Consider the following 18190-nt stretch of genomic DNA (forward strand, 5'->3'; position numbering starts at 1 on the left):
TTCAATAAATGGGAAGTTTAAGGTTTAGGATTGTATTTTAACAGCATTTCAATGAACGTGAGAAAGCGGCAAGGTTGCGGTCTGATTTGCATTTATGGGTCATGATTTTTTTCTTGGGAAAAATTCATGCATAGGCTGGGCACACAGTTGTTCACACCTGTAATCCCAACACTTTGGGAGGCTGAGGCAGGAGGATCACATGAGCCCAGGAGTTGGGGCCCACCCTGAGAAACATAGTGGGACCCCATCTCTACAAAAAATACAAAAATTCGCCAGGGTGGTGGTGCACACCTGTAGTCCTAGTGACTCGGGAGTCTGAGGTGGGAGGATCACTCGAGCCAGGGAAGTCAAGGCTGCAGCAGAGTGAGTCTTCCTCCAGCCTGGGCTACAGTGAGACCCTGTCTCCAGAAAAAAGGAAAAGAAAAAGAAAAGAAAAATTCATGCACACAAACATAAGCCTAATTGAAAAATTTAGGCATATGTTTAAGAAACAGATAATAAAGGGAAATTGTATTCTTAGGAATTCTTAGATATATTTTAGAATCTTTATCAAGGAAGGGTTCTATCATAGATGGAAGATAAAAGAAAAAGAAGGAATTTTTTTTTTTTTTTTTTTTTTTGAGGCAGAGTCTCGCTCTGTCACCCAGGCTGGAGTGCAGTGGCACAGTCTCGGCTCACTGCAACCTCCTCTACCTCCTGGGTTCAAGCACTTGTCCCTCAGCCTCCCGAGTAGCTGGGACTACAGGCACATGCCACCGCTCCTGGCTAATTTTTGTATTTTTAGTAGAGACAGGGTTTCACCATATTGGTCAGGCTTGTCTCGAACTCCTGACCTCAGGTGATCCACCCACCTCTGCCTCCCAAACTGCTGGGATTACAGGCATGAGCCGCTGCGCCCAGCCCTATTTTTCATTTTTAAACGTATTTCTTCCTACACCTATTCTGAGAGAAATGAGTATGCTAAACAAGGATGTTAAATGGAGAAGTATACAGAAATAAAAATGTAAAAGCCACCAGAAACTTGGTTTAACTTGGTTAAACTGAAAAGGATCACAATTTAAAGAAATAGTAGAAAGTAAATCTTCCATCCTTGTATGTAACTTAGCAGAAAATGTTGCTGCCTTTTCATTTATTTATTGATTATTGTGTACCTTCCATTGACACTCAGATCTCTTTCCCCTACAATAGCCAGGTTAGTCTCTCTCTTTTTTTCTTTTTTTTCCATTTTTGAGACGGAGTCTCGCTCTTGTTGCCCAGGCTCGAGTGCAATGGCGCTATCTCAGCTCATTGCAACCTCCGCCTCCTGGGTTCAAGCAATTCTCCTGCCTCAGCCTCCTGAGTAGCTGGGATTATAGGTGCCCGCCACCATGCCTGGCTAATTTTTTTTTTTTTTTTTTAATACAGATGGGATTTCACCCTGTCGGCCAGGCTGGTCTCAAACTCCTGACCTCAGGTGATCTGCCCACCTCAGCCTCCCAGAGTGCTGGGATTACAGGCGTAAGTCACCATGGTCAGCTTTTTTGTTTTTGTTTTTGTTTTTGTTTTTGGAGACAGAGTCTTGCTGTGTTGCCCAGGCTAGAGTGCAGTGGCACGATCTCCGCTCACTGCAACCTCTGCCTCCCAGGCTCGAGCGATTCTCCTGTCTTAGCCTCTGGATTAGCTGGGACTATAGGCATGTGCCACCATGCCTGGCGGATTTTTGTATTTTTTAGTAGAGATGGGGTTTCACCATGTTGGCCAGGCTGATCTCAAACTCCTGACCTCAGGTGATCTGCCCGCCTCAGCCTCCCAAAGTGCTGGGATTACAGGCGTGAGCCACCACATGCAGACTTAGTCCATCTTTTAATCATCTCTGCAGTGTAGTGATTTTTCTTCCTTTGTACTTCTTTGGTGTGCTGGGTACCAGTCTTTGCTGTCTCTTTAACATGGAGGGTGTTAATTCTATAATAGTCGATTAATATATACCAGGATGCAGTTTATTTTCATGTTTTTAAATCTTATTTTCATGTTTAAAATCTTTAAATTTTAAAGCTGCTAAAAATTGCAGCTTTTAAAGTTGTCTTAAAACATAGTCTTCTATTGCTTCTTACAGGATTGTTCTGAACTAATTGCTCTTTTTAAAGTGTAAAATCAGAATTTCTTCAAACTTGTGTTTCCCAGATAATGCTTATGATCCTGATGTGAACGCTAAACAAATATGGATTGACAAAACAGTGATAAATGACCATATATGCTTGACATTCACCGACAATGGGAATGGTATGACTTCTGATAAATTACATAAAATGCTAAGGTAGGTAAAAATGTGCCACACTTCTTAAAATTGTTGCTTTTACCTAAAGGGTTTTCCATGCCATACTTACTATTCTTGGTTTTTGTTTTTTGAAATGAAATGCTGTATGTACAGTGTGAGCTGTTCTCTAAGCATGATTTTCTACTACTGGTAGATGATGAGTCAGTCTTCACCACTGTCATCACCTACCCCACCCTACTTCCAACTCCCTAAAAGTCCACCATTCCTTTAGAGTTGTAGTATATTTATATCAATTACTGATAACTTTAGTGTAAATTAGGTTTAACCATTGTTTGTAATAAAACCTACCACTTTGTTGGGAGTAACTTTTAGAGGAAGAGATTCATGGGGTGAAATCTCACAGTCCCGGAAGCATGGGTTATACTCAGCTATTTAGTCAGGGTGTGCCAGCGATGAGTTTGCATGTTAGTACTTGTGATCCTTTTTCTCCCCTGTGATGTAGATTTGGTTTCCTTATTTCAGAGCTGGGAAAACACGTCAAGATAGATTAAAAGTAATCTGCCCGATACATAAAAAATCAACAACAACAAAAAAGTAATCTGCCCAAGATTATACAGCTAGGAAGGGTGAGGCCAGTATTTGAACCCAGGCTTTTTACTTGGTATTACAATTAATGAATTAAAAAAAAAGATTATAGGTATTTATTTATTTATTTATTTTTGATTATAGGTATTTATTTTTAAAAATCTTTATTTTCTTCTTAGCTTTGGCTTCAGTGACAAAGTCACCATGAATGGTCATGTCCCAGTTGGATTATATGGGAATGGCTTCAAGTCGGGTTCTATGCGTCTGGGTAAAGACGCAATCGTTTTTACCAAAAATGGAGAAAGCATGAGCGTGGGCCTTTTGTCTCAGACCTACTTGGAAGTCATAAAAGCGGAGCATGTTGTTGTTCCAATAGTGGCATTCAACAAGCACCATATCCTTTTGGTTGTGAAATAAAAGCTGTGGAGAAACTGAAGAAATAATTTGGAAACATTCTATGTTTTTGCCTTCTTCCAGATTATTCCCTTTGAATAACACCTATTCCATTTCTTACCTCTGTCCTCTGCATTTACCCTACACCTGAGGCTAAGGGTTTGTCCCTTTCTCTTCTCTGTTGGAATCCTGCTATGGAAATACTCAACATTTTATGTTAAACTTCCCATAGCTCTTCTGTTTACTTCAGGGTTATTGTAGACTAGTAAGACTTTATGGTTTGGCTTGAAAATTTGACTAGTGACCACAAAAGGCAGGATAACTTTAGGAAAATGCCTTTTGTATGAACACATTGGAATATTAGAAAGTATTAAGTTAGTTAGGAATAATAATCTGCTTATTTTTTATTCTTCTTCTTGTTCATTTGAAATCAAACTGCCATGTTAAAACTTAGAAAATAGGCTGAGCTCGGTGGCTGATCCCTGAAATTCCACCACTTTGGGAGGCCAAGACAGAAGGATTGCTTGAGCCCGGAATTTTGAGACCAGCCCAAGCAACGTAGGGAGACCCTATCTCTACAAAAAAAATTTAAAAATTAGCCGGTCGTGGTGGTGGGTGCCTGTGGTCGGTCCCAGCTAGGCTGCAGTTAGCCCTGATCATGTTACTGCACTCTAGCCTAAGCAATAGTGAGACCCTATCTCACAAAAAAAAAAACCTTAGAAAATTATTTATAAATAGTTTTTCTGTTATTTAAGTTTATAGAGTTAGTTTTCATATTGTAATTATGAAAACTATGTTGTCAATCTGAGTCTTTAACTTATGATATACGACAGATGATTAATTTAGCAGAATCAAAAGCCAGCCTTGCTGCAATTCTGGAACATTCTCTGTTTTCCACGGAACAGAAGTTACTGGCAGAACTTGATGCTATTATAGGCAAGAAGGGGACGAGGATCATCATTTGGAATCTTAGAAGGTAAACGTGGACATAGATGTTGACCGTTTGGGAAGTAAAGTGCACGTGCAGGGTGGTGGTGTTATATTCATCTCTCGTTACACACAGTAGAAATACATGGAAAGGTACTCATTTTTTGGTGTAGTTACTGATTTGTCTTTGCCCAGGATATGTTATAGAGGCCATTTCAGCTTCAATTTGAGATATTTTCATCTTGTTAAAAAAAATTTTTTTTTGAGACGAAGTCTCACTCTTGTTCCCCAGGCTGGAATGCGATGGCGCAATCTCAGCTGACTGCAGCCTCCGCCTCCTAGGTTTAAGCGATTCTCCTGCTTCAGTCCCCCGAGTAGCTGGGATTACAGTCGCCTGCCACCATGCCCGGCTAACTTTTGTATTTTAGTTGAGACAGGGTTTCACCATGTTGGCCAGGCTGGTCTAGAACTCCTGACCTCAGGTGATCCACCCGCCTTGGCCTCCCAAAGTGCTGGGATTACAGGCGTGAGCCACCACACCCGGCCAAAAAAAAAAATTTTTTTCTATCCCTGCCATTCAGTCTCCATTAGCACTCTATTCTCTCTCATTTATTCCACCCCGTCTTCTCAAAAAAAAAAAAAAAAAAAGAAAAAAGAAAAAAAGCAATGAGAAGACAAATTCAGGAGGATAAATCTTTCTTCATTGTGTACATTACTTAAAACTAAAAGTGATGTAGCACCTGATGAGAAAAGTAATATAGGTGAGATTTTTGTGTTGCTAAAATTTATAATCCTTTATCTTTGTGAGGATAAAATCCTTCGCAAATAAATTTTAAAATTTAAGACTAATGTCTAATACTGAAAGATCTAAGACATACTGAATCACAGGAATAAAGCACAGGTAGTGATAAGCCTAAAGAACTGAAAAAACTTGTGCTATTCTGATACCTGAATTCGTTTTTCTTGCTTTCACTTCCCTACCCCTCCTTCTCCTGGAGGATTTTTTCAATTATACTTTCTGAGGTAATTGTAGATTCATGTGTAGTTGTAAGAAGTAATAGAGAGATGTTAGGTACACTTCATTCAGTTTCCCCTGCTGGTAACATCTAACAAAACTATAGTACAGCCAGGCACACTGGCTCACACCTGTAATCCCAGCACTTTGGGAGGCTGAGGCGGGTGGATCATGAGGTCAGGAGATCGAGACCATCCTGGCTAACACGGCGAAACCCTGTCTCTACTAAAATTACAAAAAATTAGCTGGGCGCGGTGGCGGGCGCCTGTAGTCCCAGCTACTAAGGAGGCTGAGGCAGGAGAATGGCGTGAACCAGGGAGGCGGAGCTTGCAGTGAGCCGAGATAGCACCACTGCACTCCAGCCTGGGCGAAAGAGCGAGACTCTGTCTCAAAAAAAAAAAAAAAAACTATAGTACAGTAGTACTATTGATATTGACAGGATTTTGATGTTGATACAGTCAAGATGCAGGACACTTTAGTCATCACAGGAATCCCTCATGTTGCTCTTTTGTAGCCATACCCACTTCCCTCATAACCCCACTCCCTCCTTAATCCGTGGCAACCTCTAATCTGTTCTCTATTTCTATAATTTTGCCATTTTAAGAATATTACATAAACAACATGGAAACCTTTTGGATTTGACTTTTTTCACTTAGCATAACTCCTGGCGTTTTCCAGGTTCTTGTATGTATAGTTTGCACCTTTTCCTTTTTCTTTTTTTTTTCTTTCTTTTCTTTTCTTTCTTTCTTTCTTTTTTTTTTTTTTGAGATAGCGTTTTGCTCTTTCCCCCAGGGTGGAGTGAAGTATAGCGCCATCTCGGCTCACTGCAACCTCCGCCCACCGGGTTCAAGCGATTCTGCTGCCTCATCCTCCCGTGTGGCTGGGATTATAGGCACCTGCCACCATGCCTGGCTGATTTTTGTGTTTTTAGTAGAGACAGGGTTTTGCCATATTGACCAGGCTGGTCTTGAACTTCTGACCTCAGGTGATCCACATGCCTCAGCCTCCCAAAGTGGTAGGATTACAGGCGTGAGCCACTGCACCCAGCCAGTTTGCACTTTTTTCTTGCTGAGTAGTGTTTCATTGTATGTATGGAACCCAGTGTGTTTACCTATTCAAGACATCTAGGTTTGTAGTTTTGGGATATTACAAATAAAGCTGTAAACATTTGTGTACACAGTTTTGTGGGAATATAGTCTTCATTTTTCTGAAATAAATATCTAGAAGTGTAATTGCTGTATCATATAGTACTTGCATTTTATTTTCTAAGAAATGCCAGACTGTTTTCCTGAGTGTTTTCCTACCAGCAGTGTATGAGTGTTACAGTTTCTCCACATCATCCAGGATCCGTTTTCTTTCTTTTTCTCTTGCCTTTGCACCCCCAACCCCCCACTGACGTGCACCATGTGTAGGTTTATTTATTTGCTTACCTTTTTAATGACTTACAGTGTTTGCTGGCTTATCTTGCTGTGAAGTTAAATTTTGGTTCTTTCTAAAAATTATTTTTACAGCTACAAAAATGCAACAGAGTTCGATTTTGAAAAGGATAAATATGATATCAGAATTCCCGAGGATTTAGATGAGATAACAGGGAAGAAGGGGTACAAGAAGCAGGAAAGGATGGACCAGATTGCCCCTGAGAGTGACTATTCCCTGAGGGTATGTATTCAGCTCTCTTTGTGGAAGTGAGAAAATCATTGAATGCTGGTAGTATTAGGAGAGGTCATGTTACCTGCTTGTGATAGAAAGGCTGCCAGTGCTCTCTAAATGAAAGTATCTCAGACATGATTTTCCCTGGCCCACTCAGCCTGGGCAACAGAGTGAGGCTGTATCACACACACACACAAATTTAGTTAAACTTTTCATTAGCACACTGGTTGATTTATTTGTTTGGAAACCCTTTTTAAATTATGAAGTCGTCAGGCCTAACAATGCTTGTAGTTTTTACTATATGCTGACATTATTATCTTATTAGAATCAATATATTAGTCAGTATATGGTGGCCAGACTAATTCAAAAAACAACAAATTCAAAGTCTTATTAAATTTTAACGTATTTGCCCGTGCACGGTGGTTCACACCTGTAATCCCAGCACTTTGGGAGGCCAAGGTGGGTGGATCACAAGGTCAGGAGTTCAAGACCAGCCTGGCCAAGATGGTCTTGAACTCCGTCTCTACTAAAAATGCAAAAATTAGTTGGGCACGGTGGCAGGCACCTGTAATCCCAGCTACTCGGGAGGCTGAGGCAGGAGAGTCGCTTGAACCTGCAGGTGGGGCAGTGCGGTTCACGGAGGTTGCAGTGAGCGGAGATTGTACCACTGCACTCCAGCCTAGGTGACAGAGTGAGACGCCATCACACACACACAAAAAATTTAACGTATTCTAGAATACATACCTTAATTGTCCTCCTAAAGCAATAAATTATAGACTATAGTTAGATAAGGTACATTAATATAATTTTGTGATAAATGCCTCTAGGATTTTCCCTTTAGAAATGAGGTTTTTGTTTTTTTGTTTTTCTTTTTGGAGATTAGGTCTTTGGGTGTCACTCTCTCACCCAGGCTGGAGTGCAGCGGTGAGATCTCAGCTCACTGCAGCCTCTGCCTCCTGGCCCCAAGCAATCCTTCCACCTCAGCCTCCTGAGTAGCTGGGACTGCAGGCGTGTGCCACCACACCCGGCTATTTTTTTGTATTTTTGGTAGAGACGATGTTTCACCAAGTTGTCCAGGCTGATCTCAAACTCTTGGTCTCAAGTGATCCACCTGCCTCAGCCTCCCAAAGTGCTGGGATTACAGGTGTGAGCCTCTGCACCTGGTCAAAATGAGTATCTGTTTAAGATTAAAAGAAATGGGCTAGGCACAGTGGCTCACACATGTAATCCCAGCACTTTGTGAGGCAGAGACGGGTGGATCACCTGAGGTCAGGAGTTGGAGACCAGCCTGGCCAACATGGTGAAATCCTGTCTCTACTAAAAATAGAAAAATTAGCTGGGCACGGTTGCGGGAGCCTGTGATCCCAGCGGCTTGGGAGGCTGAGGCAGGAGAATCCCTTGAACCCGGCAGGCAGAGGTTGTGGTGAGCCAAGACCGCACCATTACACTCCAGCCTGGGCAACAAGAGTGAAACTCTGTCTCAAAAAATAAAAATAAAAAAAAGATTGGAGAAATTAATATCTTGATATAATAATGTCGATAAATTAATATCAAGGTTTTTTTGTTTGTTTGTTTGAGACGGAGTTTTGTTCTTGTTGCCCAGGCTGGAGTGCAATGGCATGATCTTGGCTCACCACAGCCTCCACCTCCTGGGTTCAAGGGATTCTTCTGCCACAGCCTCCCAACTAGCTGGGATTACAGGCATGCGCCACCATGCCCGGCTAATTTTGCATTTTTAGTAGAGACAAGGTTTCACCATGTTGGCCAGACTGGTCTCGAACTCCCGACCTCAGTGATCTGCCTGCCTCGGCCTCACAAAGTGTTGGGATTACAGGTGTGAACCACCGTGCCCGGCCAATATCAAGTTTTTTAGTTGTTTTGATAAGACATGTGATACTAACTTTTTGCTTTCTTTTTTTTTTTTTTTTTGAGACAGAGTCTCACTCTGTTGCCTAGGCTGGAGTGCAGTGGCGTGATCTCGGCTCACCACAACCTCCGGCTCCTGGGTTCAAGCGATTCTTCTGGCACAGCCTCCTGAGTAGCCAGGACTACAAGCATGCACTACCCTGCCTGGCTAATTTTTGTATTTTTAGTAGAGACAGGGTTTCACTATGTTAGCCAGGCTTCTCTTGAACTCCTGACCTCGTGATCCGCCCGCCTCGGCCTCCCAAAGTGCTGGGATTACAGGAATGAGCCACCTTGCCTAGCCACTTTTTGCTTTATTTCTTGTGTTGATATTATTCTTTAATCCCAAGCTGTGGATGTATTTGTCATTTACAGATTTTTCATGTAATTTTTGCTAAGGTCTTAGCAATTACATTATTAGTAATAGTAATAGTAAATAGTAGTATTACTATTTACTAAAATAGTAAATAGCAGATATTTACTGTTCCTTGATGTATCCTAATGTGTTCCTAGTGTTGAAAAAGTCTTATTCAAGTATGAAACAGGTTCAGAGGCAGCCAGAGAAGATGGTATGGTTTTAGTACACTACAAAATACAGTGTTTTTTAAATGACGCAAAGCACCACTTCTTTTGAAATCAAGAGTCAGGAAAAGTAGGAGAAGCTTTTAAGTTTTAGTTTTGTGTTGAATCTTTTTTTTTTGAGGTGGGGGGGTCTCCCTCTGTCCCCCACACTGGAGTGCAGTGGTGTGATCTCGGCTCACTGCAGCCTCCGCCTCCATACTTGACAGAAAAATCAGAAAATGTACCTTTTTGTACATATATACATTTTTTAAAATTAAAATGTGATCATACCATACGTGCTGTTTTGTAATCTTTTTCACTTAGTAATAAATATATCAGCATCTATATAGATCAGTTGATTGTATTCTGCAAGTCATTTTTACTGGCTGCGGTATATTGAGCTTATTTTTAATGAAAAATAACCAAATCAGAATAACATACAGCTTTATAGCCTATTTTATTGAAGAGTTAATTGATCTTTTATCAAGTTAATAGGAGAGCTTCTGTGTAAATCCATGTCTAAGTAATGGTGAGCAAACCTGTAGATACTAACTTCTTGTTATGTTATTTTCCAGGCTTATTGCAGTATATTATATCTAAAGCCAAGAATGCAGATCATCCTACGTGGACAGAAAGTGAAGACACAGCTGGTTTCGAAGAGTCTTGCCTACATCGAACGTGATGTTTATCGACCAAAATTTTTAGTATCCTTTTTCTGATTCCTTATAGAGATATGTTAGTCAGGTGTATTCTCTTTTGCCCCTTTCCCCTTATATGCTGATAGGGATTCTAGTCTGCTCTAGCTTTGCCCTCCTTTGTGTGCTTTTGGACTTACCAAATAATGAAATAGAAAGGATGATTTGAACTGAGTGAGGTGTTGTGTTCAAAATTTACCTTAATATTTTAAGTCTAAAACAGTGAGAATTACCTTTGGATTCAACTGCAGAAATAAAGATCATTATGGGATAATGATGTATCACAGAAATAGACTCATCAAAGCTTATGAAAAAGTTGGATGTCAGTTAAGGGTAAGCTTTATTTTTTATTTGAAAAGAAAATGTCTATTTTCCACAAAAGTTAGGATAATATATGCTCTTGAGTCAAATGTTAAATAATTTTATTGTACCTTTTGCCTATAGCTTTTTAATGTAAATTTGTAAAAAATAACACTGTGGTATTTGAACTTTTATTAACTCCCCTCCCCTCCCCTCCCTTCCCCTCCCCTGCCCTGCCCTCTCCTTTCCTTTCCCTTCCTTTTTTTTGAGACGGAGTCTGAGTCTTGCCCAGGCTTCAGTGCAGTGGCACAATCTTGGCTAAACTCACTGCCATATTCACCTTCTGGGTTCAAGTGATTCTGCTGCCTCAGCCTCCCAAGTAGCTGGGACTACAGGTGCATGCCACCACGCCTGGTTTTTTTTGTTTTTTGTTTTTTTTTTGAGACAGAGCCTTGCTCTGTCGCCCAGGCTGGAGTGCAGTGGCGATATCTCGGCTCACTGCAGCCTCTGCCTTCTGGGTTCAAGCAATTCTCCTGCCTCAGCCTTCCAAGTAGCTGGGACTACAGGCACGTGCCGCCACGCCTGGCTAATTTTTGTATTTTTAGTAGAGGTGAGGTTTCAGTGTGTCAGCCAGCATGGTCTTGATCTCCTGACCTGGTGATCTGCCTGCCTCAGCCTCCCAAAGTTCTGGGATTACAAGCGTGTGCCACCGCACTCGGCCAGTTGTTTTGTATTTTTAGTAGAGACGAGGTTTCACCGTGTTGTCCAGGCTTGTCCCAAACTCCTGACCTCAGGTGATCCACCCGCCTCGGTCTCCCAAAGTGCTGGGATTACAGGTGTGAGCCACCGCGCCCGGCTTTATTTTTATTTTTTGAGAGACTCTACCTGGCTGGAGTGCAGTGGCGCAATTTTGGCTCACTGCAGCCTCTGACTCCCAGGTTCAAGTGATCCTCGCACCTTAGCCTCCTGAGTAGCTGTGACTACAGGTGCATGCCAGCACCTTAATTTCTTTTATTTATTTATTTGTTTGTTTATTTTTTGAGATGGAGTCTCACTCTGTCACCCAGGCTGGAGTGCAGTGGTGTGATCTCAGCTCACTGCAACCTCCACCTCCCTGGTTCAAGCGATTCTCGGGCCTTAGCCTCCCAAGTAGCTGGGACTACTGGCGTGTGCCGCTATGCCAGGCCAAATTTTGTATTTTTAGTAGAGACGGCTTTACCATGTTGACCAGGCTGGCCTCAAACTCCTGAACTCAAGTGATCCACCCACGTCGGCTTCTCAGCGTGCTCAGATTACAGGCCTGAGGCAATGCGCTCGGCCTAGTATATTAATTTTGTATTTGATCCTGAACAGCCCTGAGGTGGGGACAGAATATTTCTTTTATCCCTATTTTATGCATAAGGAAGTTGGGGACCAGACACAGTGGCTCATTCCTGTAATCCTAGTGCTTCGTGTGGCTGAGGTAGGAGGATTGCTTGAGGCCAGTGCTTCAAGACCAGCTTGGGCAACATACCAAGTCTCTACCTCAGCTGAGTACGGTGCCTTACACCTGTAATCCCAGCATATTTGAGAGGTCTGGGCCGGGGGATTGCTTGAGCCCAGGAGTTCAAGACCAGCCTGGGCAATGGGGCAAAACCCTGTCTGTACAAAAAAATACAAAAATTAGCTGGGCCTGGTGGTGCATGCCTGTGGTCCCAGCTACCAGGAGGCTGAGGTGGGAGGATTGCTTGAGCCCAAGAAGTTGAGGCTGTAGTGAGCCAAAATTGTGCCTCTGCTTTTCAGTCTAGGCAACAGGGTGAGGTCCTATCTCAAACAAACAAACAAACAAAAATCGTCTCTACAAAACAATAAAAACAAATTAGCCAGGTGTGGTTGTACGTCCTTGTAGTCTTAGTTATTTGGGAGGCTGAGGTGGGAGAGTGCTTGAGCCCTGGAGTTTGAGGCTACACTGAGCTATGATTTTTGCCCCTGTACTCCAGCCTGGGCAACAGAGTGAGACCCTGTCTCTTAAAAAAAAAAAAAAAAAAACAAAGAAATTGGGGCAAATAACAAATAGATGAAGCAAGTTGCTTAAGACATAACAGCGTGGATCTCAGACACAAACACATCATTTGACTGCATTTGGATATGGATCCATTGCATATTTTTAAGATTTTGGTGATAATTCTTTGTCTTAACTTTATTCTGAGTTTTTTGTAGAATGATGTGAGATCTACACAGTATACCAATGCAGATTCACCTTGAATACCACTTAACAGGGGTTCTGACTCTGCTTCACCTACTTTACATGGCATGAGCCCAAATATAGCATATTTGCAGAAGTAAATGAACTTTATGTCTACCACAGAATGTAAATTTTTTTCTTTTTATCACCTATGAATCTGACTTAACCAAGATATATAGCCCATTTTCCCAACCGAGTTAAATTTGTACTGTACATATTTCCTAGTTAAGCTCGACCTTGTAAAGATAGGCTGTTACAGCTAAATTACAATGTTTATCTTTACCAGATGATGGACTGGGCCTAGTATTTGCATTCTGTGGATTCGGTAAACATTAAATAAGTATCAGATACCCATTGTGATTTGCTGTGCTGGGTGCTCAGCATAAAAAGTTGGTAAAATACAGAGCATGCCCTCAAAGCTCAGTTTTGTGAGGGGACTGTGGAACATCCTTGGAAGCATCAGAAAAGGCTTCTTAGAGAAAGTGTTGATTGAAATGAGTCTCAGTTGATTTCACTGTGCTGCAAAGTCTGGAAGGGCTTTCCAGGCAGAGACAACATGTGCAAAGGCAGAGAAAGAGGCTTCTGAGAGTATGACATCATAAAGGGAGTAATTTGATGTGGCTGGACCATATTTTAAGTGGAGAACAGAGGAATGAGAGAGACAGGATAAGGCTGGAAGGAAGATGGATAAGAACCACAAATTGAAGGATATTGTTATTACTGTAGTTTAAAAATAGTCTGAAATGGTGAACCTGATGGTTTTTAATAGAGCAGAATTAGGATTAGTTGTATGGTTTGGTCTATAGTTGGGTTTATAAAAATTTTCATTTTATGAGTTACACATTTTACTTTTTTCTTCATAGACTAAGAAGTATAGCTACAATCATGAACAAAATATACTTGTTAGTCACACGTAGATAATCAGAAGATGACTCATATACTTTGAGTTCAACATTTTAGCTAGCAGATTTAAAAAATAACTAATTTAACCAACCTAGATTTTTACTTCATTGTTAGCAACTGGATACCTAACTTTGGGTAAATGACTTTAACTTTTATCTCACAAACGTATGGAATATTGCCTTTCAGAGCCTTTGCTAGTCACTACAAGATCAGGATGAATTATTTGTGGTTTCTGTTCTCTAAGAAATTGTATCCTAGTAGAGGTAGTCCTCTTTTCTTTTCTTTTTTTGTCTTTTTGAAAGATGGAGTTTTACTCTTGTTGCCCAGGCTGGAGTGCAATGGCACGATCTCAGCTCACTGCAACCTCCGCCTGCCAGGTTGAAGCAATTCTCCTGCCTCAGCCTCCTGAGTAGCTGGGATTACAGGTGCATGCCACCACACCCGGCTAATTTTTTGTATTTTTAGTAGAGATGGGATTTCACCATGTTGGCCAGGCTGTTCTTGAACTCCTGACCTCAGGTGATCTGCCCACCTCGGCTTCCCAAAGTGTTGGGATTACAGGCGTGAGCCATCGCCCCTGGCAGGTAGTCCTTTTTCTCTTGTATAACATTGGGGATGTTAATACTTGTCTAAATGGATACTTGTCAACAATCAAAGGGTTTTTGAGGAAGGCTCTAGTGTATTTAGAAATTAACTCCCAGGAATATAAATCACCTACCAGTGTTTTTTTCAGTCTAAATTTGATGAGAATTGGCCGGACGCGGTGGCTCATGCCTGTAATGCCAGCACTTTGGGAGGCCGAGGCTGGTGGATTGCTTGAGGTCAGGAGTTGGAGACTAGCCATGGTGAAACCCCGTCTCTGCTAAAAATAGAAAAATTAGCTGGGTTTGGTGGTGCGCGCCTGTACTTCCAGCTACTCGGGAGGCTGAGGCAACGAGAGTCACTTGAGCTTGGGCGGTCTCTTGGTTCTTGCAGTGAGCCAAGATCATGCCACTGCACTCCAGCCTGGGTGACCAAATGAGACTCTGTCTCAAAAAAATAAAAACAAATAAAAATAAAAATAAATGTGATGAGAATCATACAAGATAAAATATAGAAAAATATACAAACTATAATTCTTTAAGGGTAATTATTTTGAGCATCATGTCTTATGCTTAAAATGCTGATTTCATTTTATTTTTTCAGGCAAACAACATGGGTGTTGGAGTGGTTGGAATTATAGAGTGTAATTTCCTTAAGCCAACTCATAATAAACAAGATTTCGACTATACTAATGAGTACAGGTATGTTACCTATTTAAATTATTGACTGAGGTTCCTAGGAAATGTATTACCAAGAAAGCAGGAACTACTCTATTTTCTGTGAATCTCAGAAATACCTTATTAGTAAAGAAAGGTTTGAATATACTACTTGTGATGGTGTAGGTTACAATTCCTAGAATGGAAGATGGTTATATTAGTTTTCTATGTAAGTCCCTTACCTACCCATTTTCTTAAAGTTCGATAATGTAATTATAATTTTGTAATTAAAATAAAAATCCACAAGGTGGCAAAACATTTAGCTTAAGAGAAGTTATGCAAGTATTTTGAAAATAAACTTTAAAAAGAAGTCAATAATTTAAATAGGTAAATAGAGGGCCTGGCCAATGCTGGCCTATAGACGTGGTCTCTGGTTGACATAGGGTGTGTGGATAGGTTGGAGCTGGTCTGTAGAGGGAGCCTTATGTTGTTGGAGCTAGCAGAAGACTGCTGGTGGGCAAAGCATGGCCTGATGGGCACAGCTGAAGCTCCTCTGGGAGGTCACTGGGCCCTAGCAAAATAGTAACAGAGTACCAGAACTTGGGCTGGATTTGGAGCCTAGAGACAATAAATTGGTAACTGAATGAATCAAAAAAGTCAGCCAGGTGCAGTGGCTCTTTCCTGTAATCTTAGCACTAAGGGGGCCCAAAGGTGGACAAATTGCTTGAGCTCAGAAGGTTGAGACCAGCGTGGGCAACATGGCAAAATCCTGTCTCTACCAAAAATACAAAAAATTAGCAAGGTGTGGTGGCATGTGTCTGTGGTCCCAGCTACTCAGGAGGCTGAGGCAGGAGGATCATTTGAGCCTGGGAAGGTGGAGTGTGCAGTGAGCCAAGATGGCGCCACTGTACTCCAACCCGATGACAGAGTGAGATCCCGTCTCAGGAAAAAAAAGACCACGTACAGTGGCTTACACCTGTAATCCCAGCACTTTAGTAGGCGGAGGATCGCTTGAGCCGAGGAGTTTGAGACCAGCCTGGGCAACACAGTGGGAGCTTATCTCTACAGAAAATAAAAAAATGAGGTGGGAGGATCACTTGAGCTCAGGAGATTGAGGCTGCAATGAGCCGTGATTGTGTCACTGCATTCCCGCGCTGGTGACAGAAGACACCCTGCCTCAAAAAAAAAAAAAAAAAAAATTTCGGTTCTTTGGTAGGACTAATAAAGTCTATAAGCATTTGTCAAGACTGATTAAGGAAAAGGAGTAGAAAATACAAATCATCAATATTAGAAATGAAAAAGAAGAAATTACTACAGAGCCTCCAGACATGAAACATTAAGCAGATAGCACAAATAAATTTTCTCCATTTTAGATGACGTGGACACATTCCTTTGAAATTGAATCACTTTTTAGAAAACTTCCCACATACTAAATTCAGACATTTAAGGAAGAAGTGGCATCAGTCTTTTTATTTACAAAAACTATTTAAAACAATACATAATAGTTCATTTGTATGGAATACATGTGATATTTTGATACAAGCATACAACATGTAATGATCAAGTCAGGGTTATTGGGATATTCATCACCTCAAGCAGTTGCCTTATTTTGTGTTAGGAACATTCCAATTTTACTCTTCTAGTTACTTTGAAATATATATATAAGATGTTATTGTTAACTACGGTTGTCCTCCTTTTTTTTTTTTTTTTTTTTTTTTTTGAGACTGAGTCTCACTCTGTCACTAGGCTGGAGTGCAGTGGCCCCCAGGTCTTAGCTTATTGCAACCTCTGCCTCTGGGATTCAAGTGATTCTCCTGCCTCAGCCTCCCGAGTAGCTGGGACTACAGGCATGCACCACCATGCCCAGCTAATTTTCTGTATTTTTGGTAGAGATGGGGTTTACTATTTTGATCAGGATGGTCTTGATCTGTTGACCTTGTGATCCACCCGCCTTGGCCTCCCAAAATGGTGGGATTATGGGTGTGAGCCACCACGCCCGGCCCTGTTGTCCTATTGTGGTACCAAATACTGTATCTTATTCCTTCTAATTAACTGTATTTTTATACTCATTAGCCAGCCCCTCTTTATTTCCCTCTCCCCACTACCTGTCCCATGTCCTGAGGGCAGTATTTTTTAGCTCTCAGATATGGATGAGAACATGAGATATTTGTCTTTCTATACCTGACTTACTTCACTTAATGTAATGTCCTCCAGGTATATCCATTTATATCCATGTCATTACAAATGACAGCATTTTTGTGGTTGGATAATATCCCATTGTGTGTATGTACCATAGTTTTTTTATTCATTTATTCGTTAATGGATGCTGACAAGGATGTGGAGAAAGGGGAACCCTCGTACACTATTAGTGGGAAAGTAAATTAGTATAGTTGCTATGGAGAATAGGATGGAGTTTCCTCAAGTAAACTAATAATAGAATTACCATATGATTGAACAATCACATGGCTGGATATATATCTAAAAGAAAGAAAATCAGTATATTTGAAGAGATACCTGCACTCTCATGTTTATTGCAGCACTGTTCACAGTAGTCAAAGGTTTTATGAAGCCACATAGCCTTGTTAGTAAGCTCAAGAGTACAGGAAAGGAAATTTATGTCAGTCTCTTATCATAGAATTAAAAGTCTTAATTAAAATATTGGTAAATACCATCCAGTACATGCTAAAAGAATAATAACATTAAAACCAAGTGGGTTGTGTTCTAAGACAATATGGGTGGTTTTAATGTAAGAAATGAGTATAGTTCATCATATTGATGTTTAATAAGAGAAAGCCCTTATGGTCATATACATAGATAGAGAAAAAGCACTTGCAATTATTTTTAAAAGGAACACCTACAAAAACTGTGAATCAAAGGGCATAATAACAGAGTATTTACACACACACGGCAAGCTACATTACTAATGGGGAACAATTGATAGCTTTCCTTAGAAGGGTGGGAGAGTTAAGGATACCAGCCATTCACTAAATATTCTTGAGGAAATAACTAATGTAATAAGGCCAAAAAAAAGGGGTGGGGGGGGGCAGGTTGAAAAGGAAGACATAAAGCTCTATTACAGGTTGAGTATCCTTATCTGAAATCTTTGAGACCGGAAGTGTTTTGGTTTGGATTTTTTTGTATTTTGGAATGTTTGCATTATGCCTACTGGTTGAGCATTGCAAATCTGAAAATCTGAAATCCAAGGTACTTTCATGAGCATTTCCTTTGGGTATCATGTTGGCACTCAAAAAGTTTCAGATTTGGAGCAATTTGGATTTTTGGATTTGGGATGTTCAGCTTGTACCAGTAGTTGACAATGTTAAGTACCATTAACCCTTGAACAGCGCAGTTATTAGGGGGACTGACTACCCCTCAGTCAAAGATCCACGTATAACTCCTCAGAACCTTAAGAGCCTGCTGTTGAATGGAAGCCTTACTGATAACATAAATAGTTGATTAAGCTGGGAATGGTGGCACACATCTGTAGTCCCAGCTACTCAGGATGCTCGAGGCAGAATGATCATGTGAGCCTAGGAGTTT

The 18190-nt window shown here is 41.0% G+C and overlaps 1 protein-coding gene across 3 annotated transcripts in view, besides 2 other annotated features; it reads left to right on the plus strand.

The window, feature by feature from the left end:
• The window catches only part of MORC3 (MORC family CW-type zinc finger 3), a 56436-nt gene that overhangs the window by 14517 nt on the left and 23729 nt on the right, over positions 1–18190 (plus strand). For all 3 annotated transcript variants that reach the window (NM_001320446.2, NM_015358.3, NM_001320445.2), the window contains 7 exons: positions 2161–2293; positions 3019–3233; positions 4061–4208; positions 6686–6833; positions 9866–9994; positions 10199–10318; positions 14598–14695. In NM_001320446.2, the coding sequence (NP_001307375.1) occupies positions 2262–2293; positions 3019–3233; positions 4061–4208; positions 6686–6833; positions 9866–9994; positions 10199–10318; positions 14598–14695 (890 nt within the window). In that variant the 5' untranslated portion in view covers positions 2161–2261. The remainder of the gene's footprint in view (positions 1–2160; positions 2294–3018; positions 3234–4060; positions 4209–6685; positions 6834–9865; positions 9995–10198; positions 10319–14597; positions 14696–18190) is intronic.
• Positions 1884–3083: an enhancer, noted in NCBI's record as "CDK7 strongly-dependent group 2 enhancer chr21:37708895-37710094 (GRCh37/hg19 assembly coordinates)". NCBI's record gives its function as "activates an origin of replication core promoter dependent on BRD2, BRD4, P300/CBP, MED14 and CDK7 cofactors, with strong dependence on CDK7, by STARR-seq in HCT116 cells {active_cell/tissue: HCT116}" and the evidence as "EXISTENCE:reporter gene assay evidence [ECO:0000049][PMID:35650434]".
• Positions 2338–2632: a silencer, noted in NCBI's record as "tiled region #5695; HepG2 Repressive non-DNase unmatched - State 15:Elon". NCBI's record gives its function as "represses a minimal TATA promoter and a strong SV40 promoter by Sharpr-MPRA in HepG2 cells {active_cell/tissue: HepG2}" and the evidence as "EXISTENCE:reporter gene assay evidence [ECO:0000049][PMID:27701403]".

Source organism: Homo sapiens, chromosome 21, assembly GCF_000001405.40.
Source record: "Homo sapiens chromosome 21, GRCh38.p14 Primary Assembly".
Classification (NCBI taxonomy): Eukaryota; Metazoa; Chordata; class Mammalia; order Primates; family Hominidae; genus Homo; species Homo sapiens.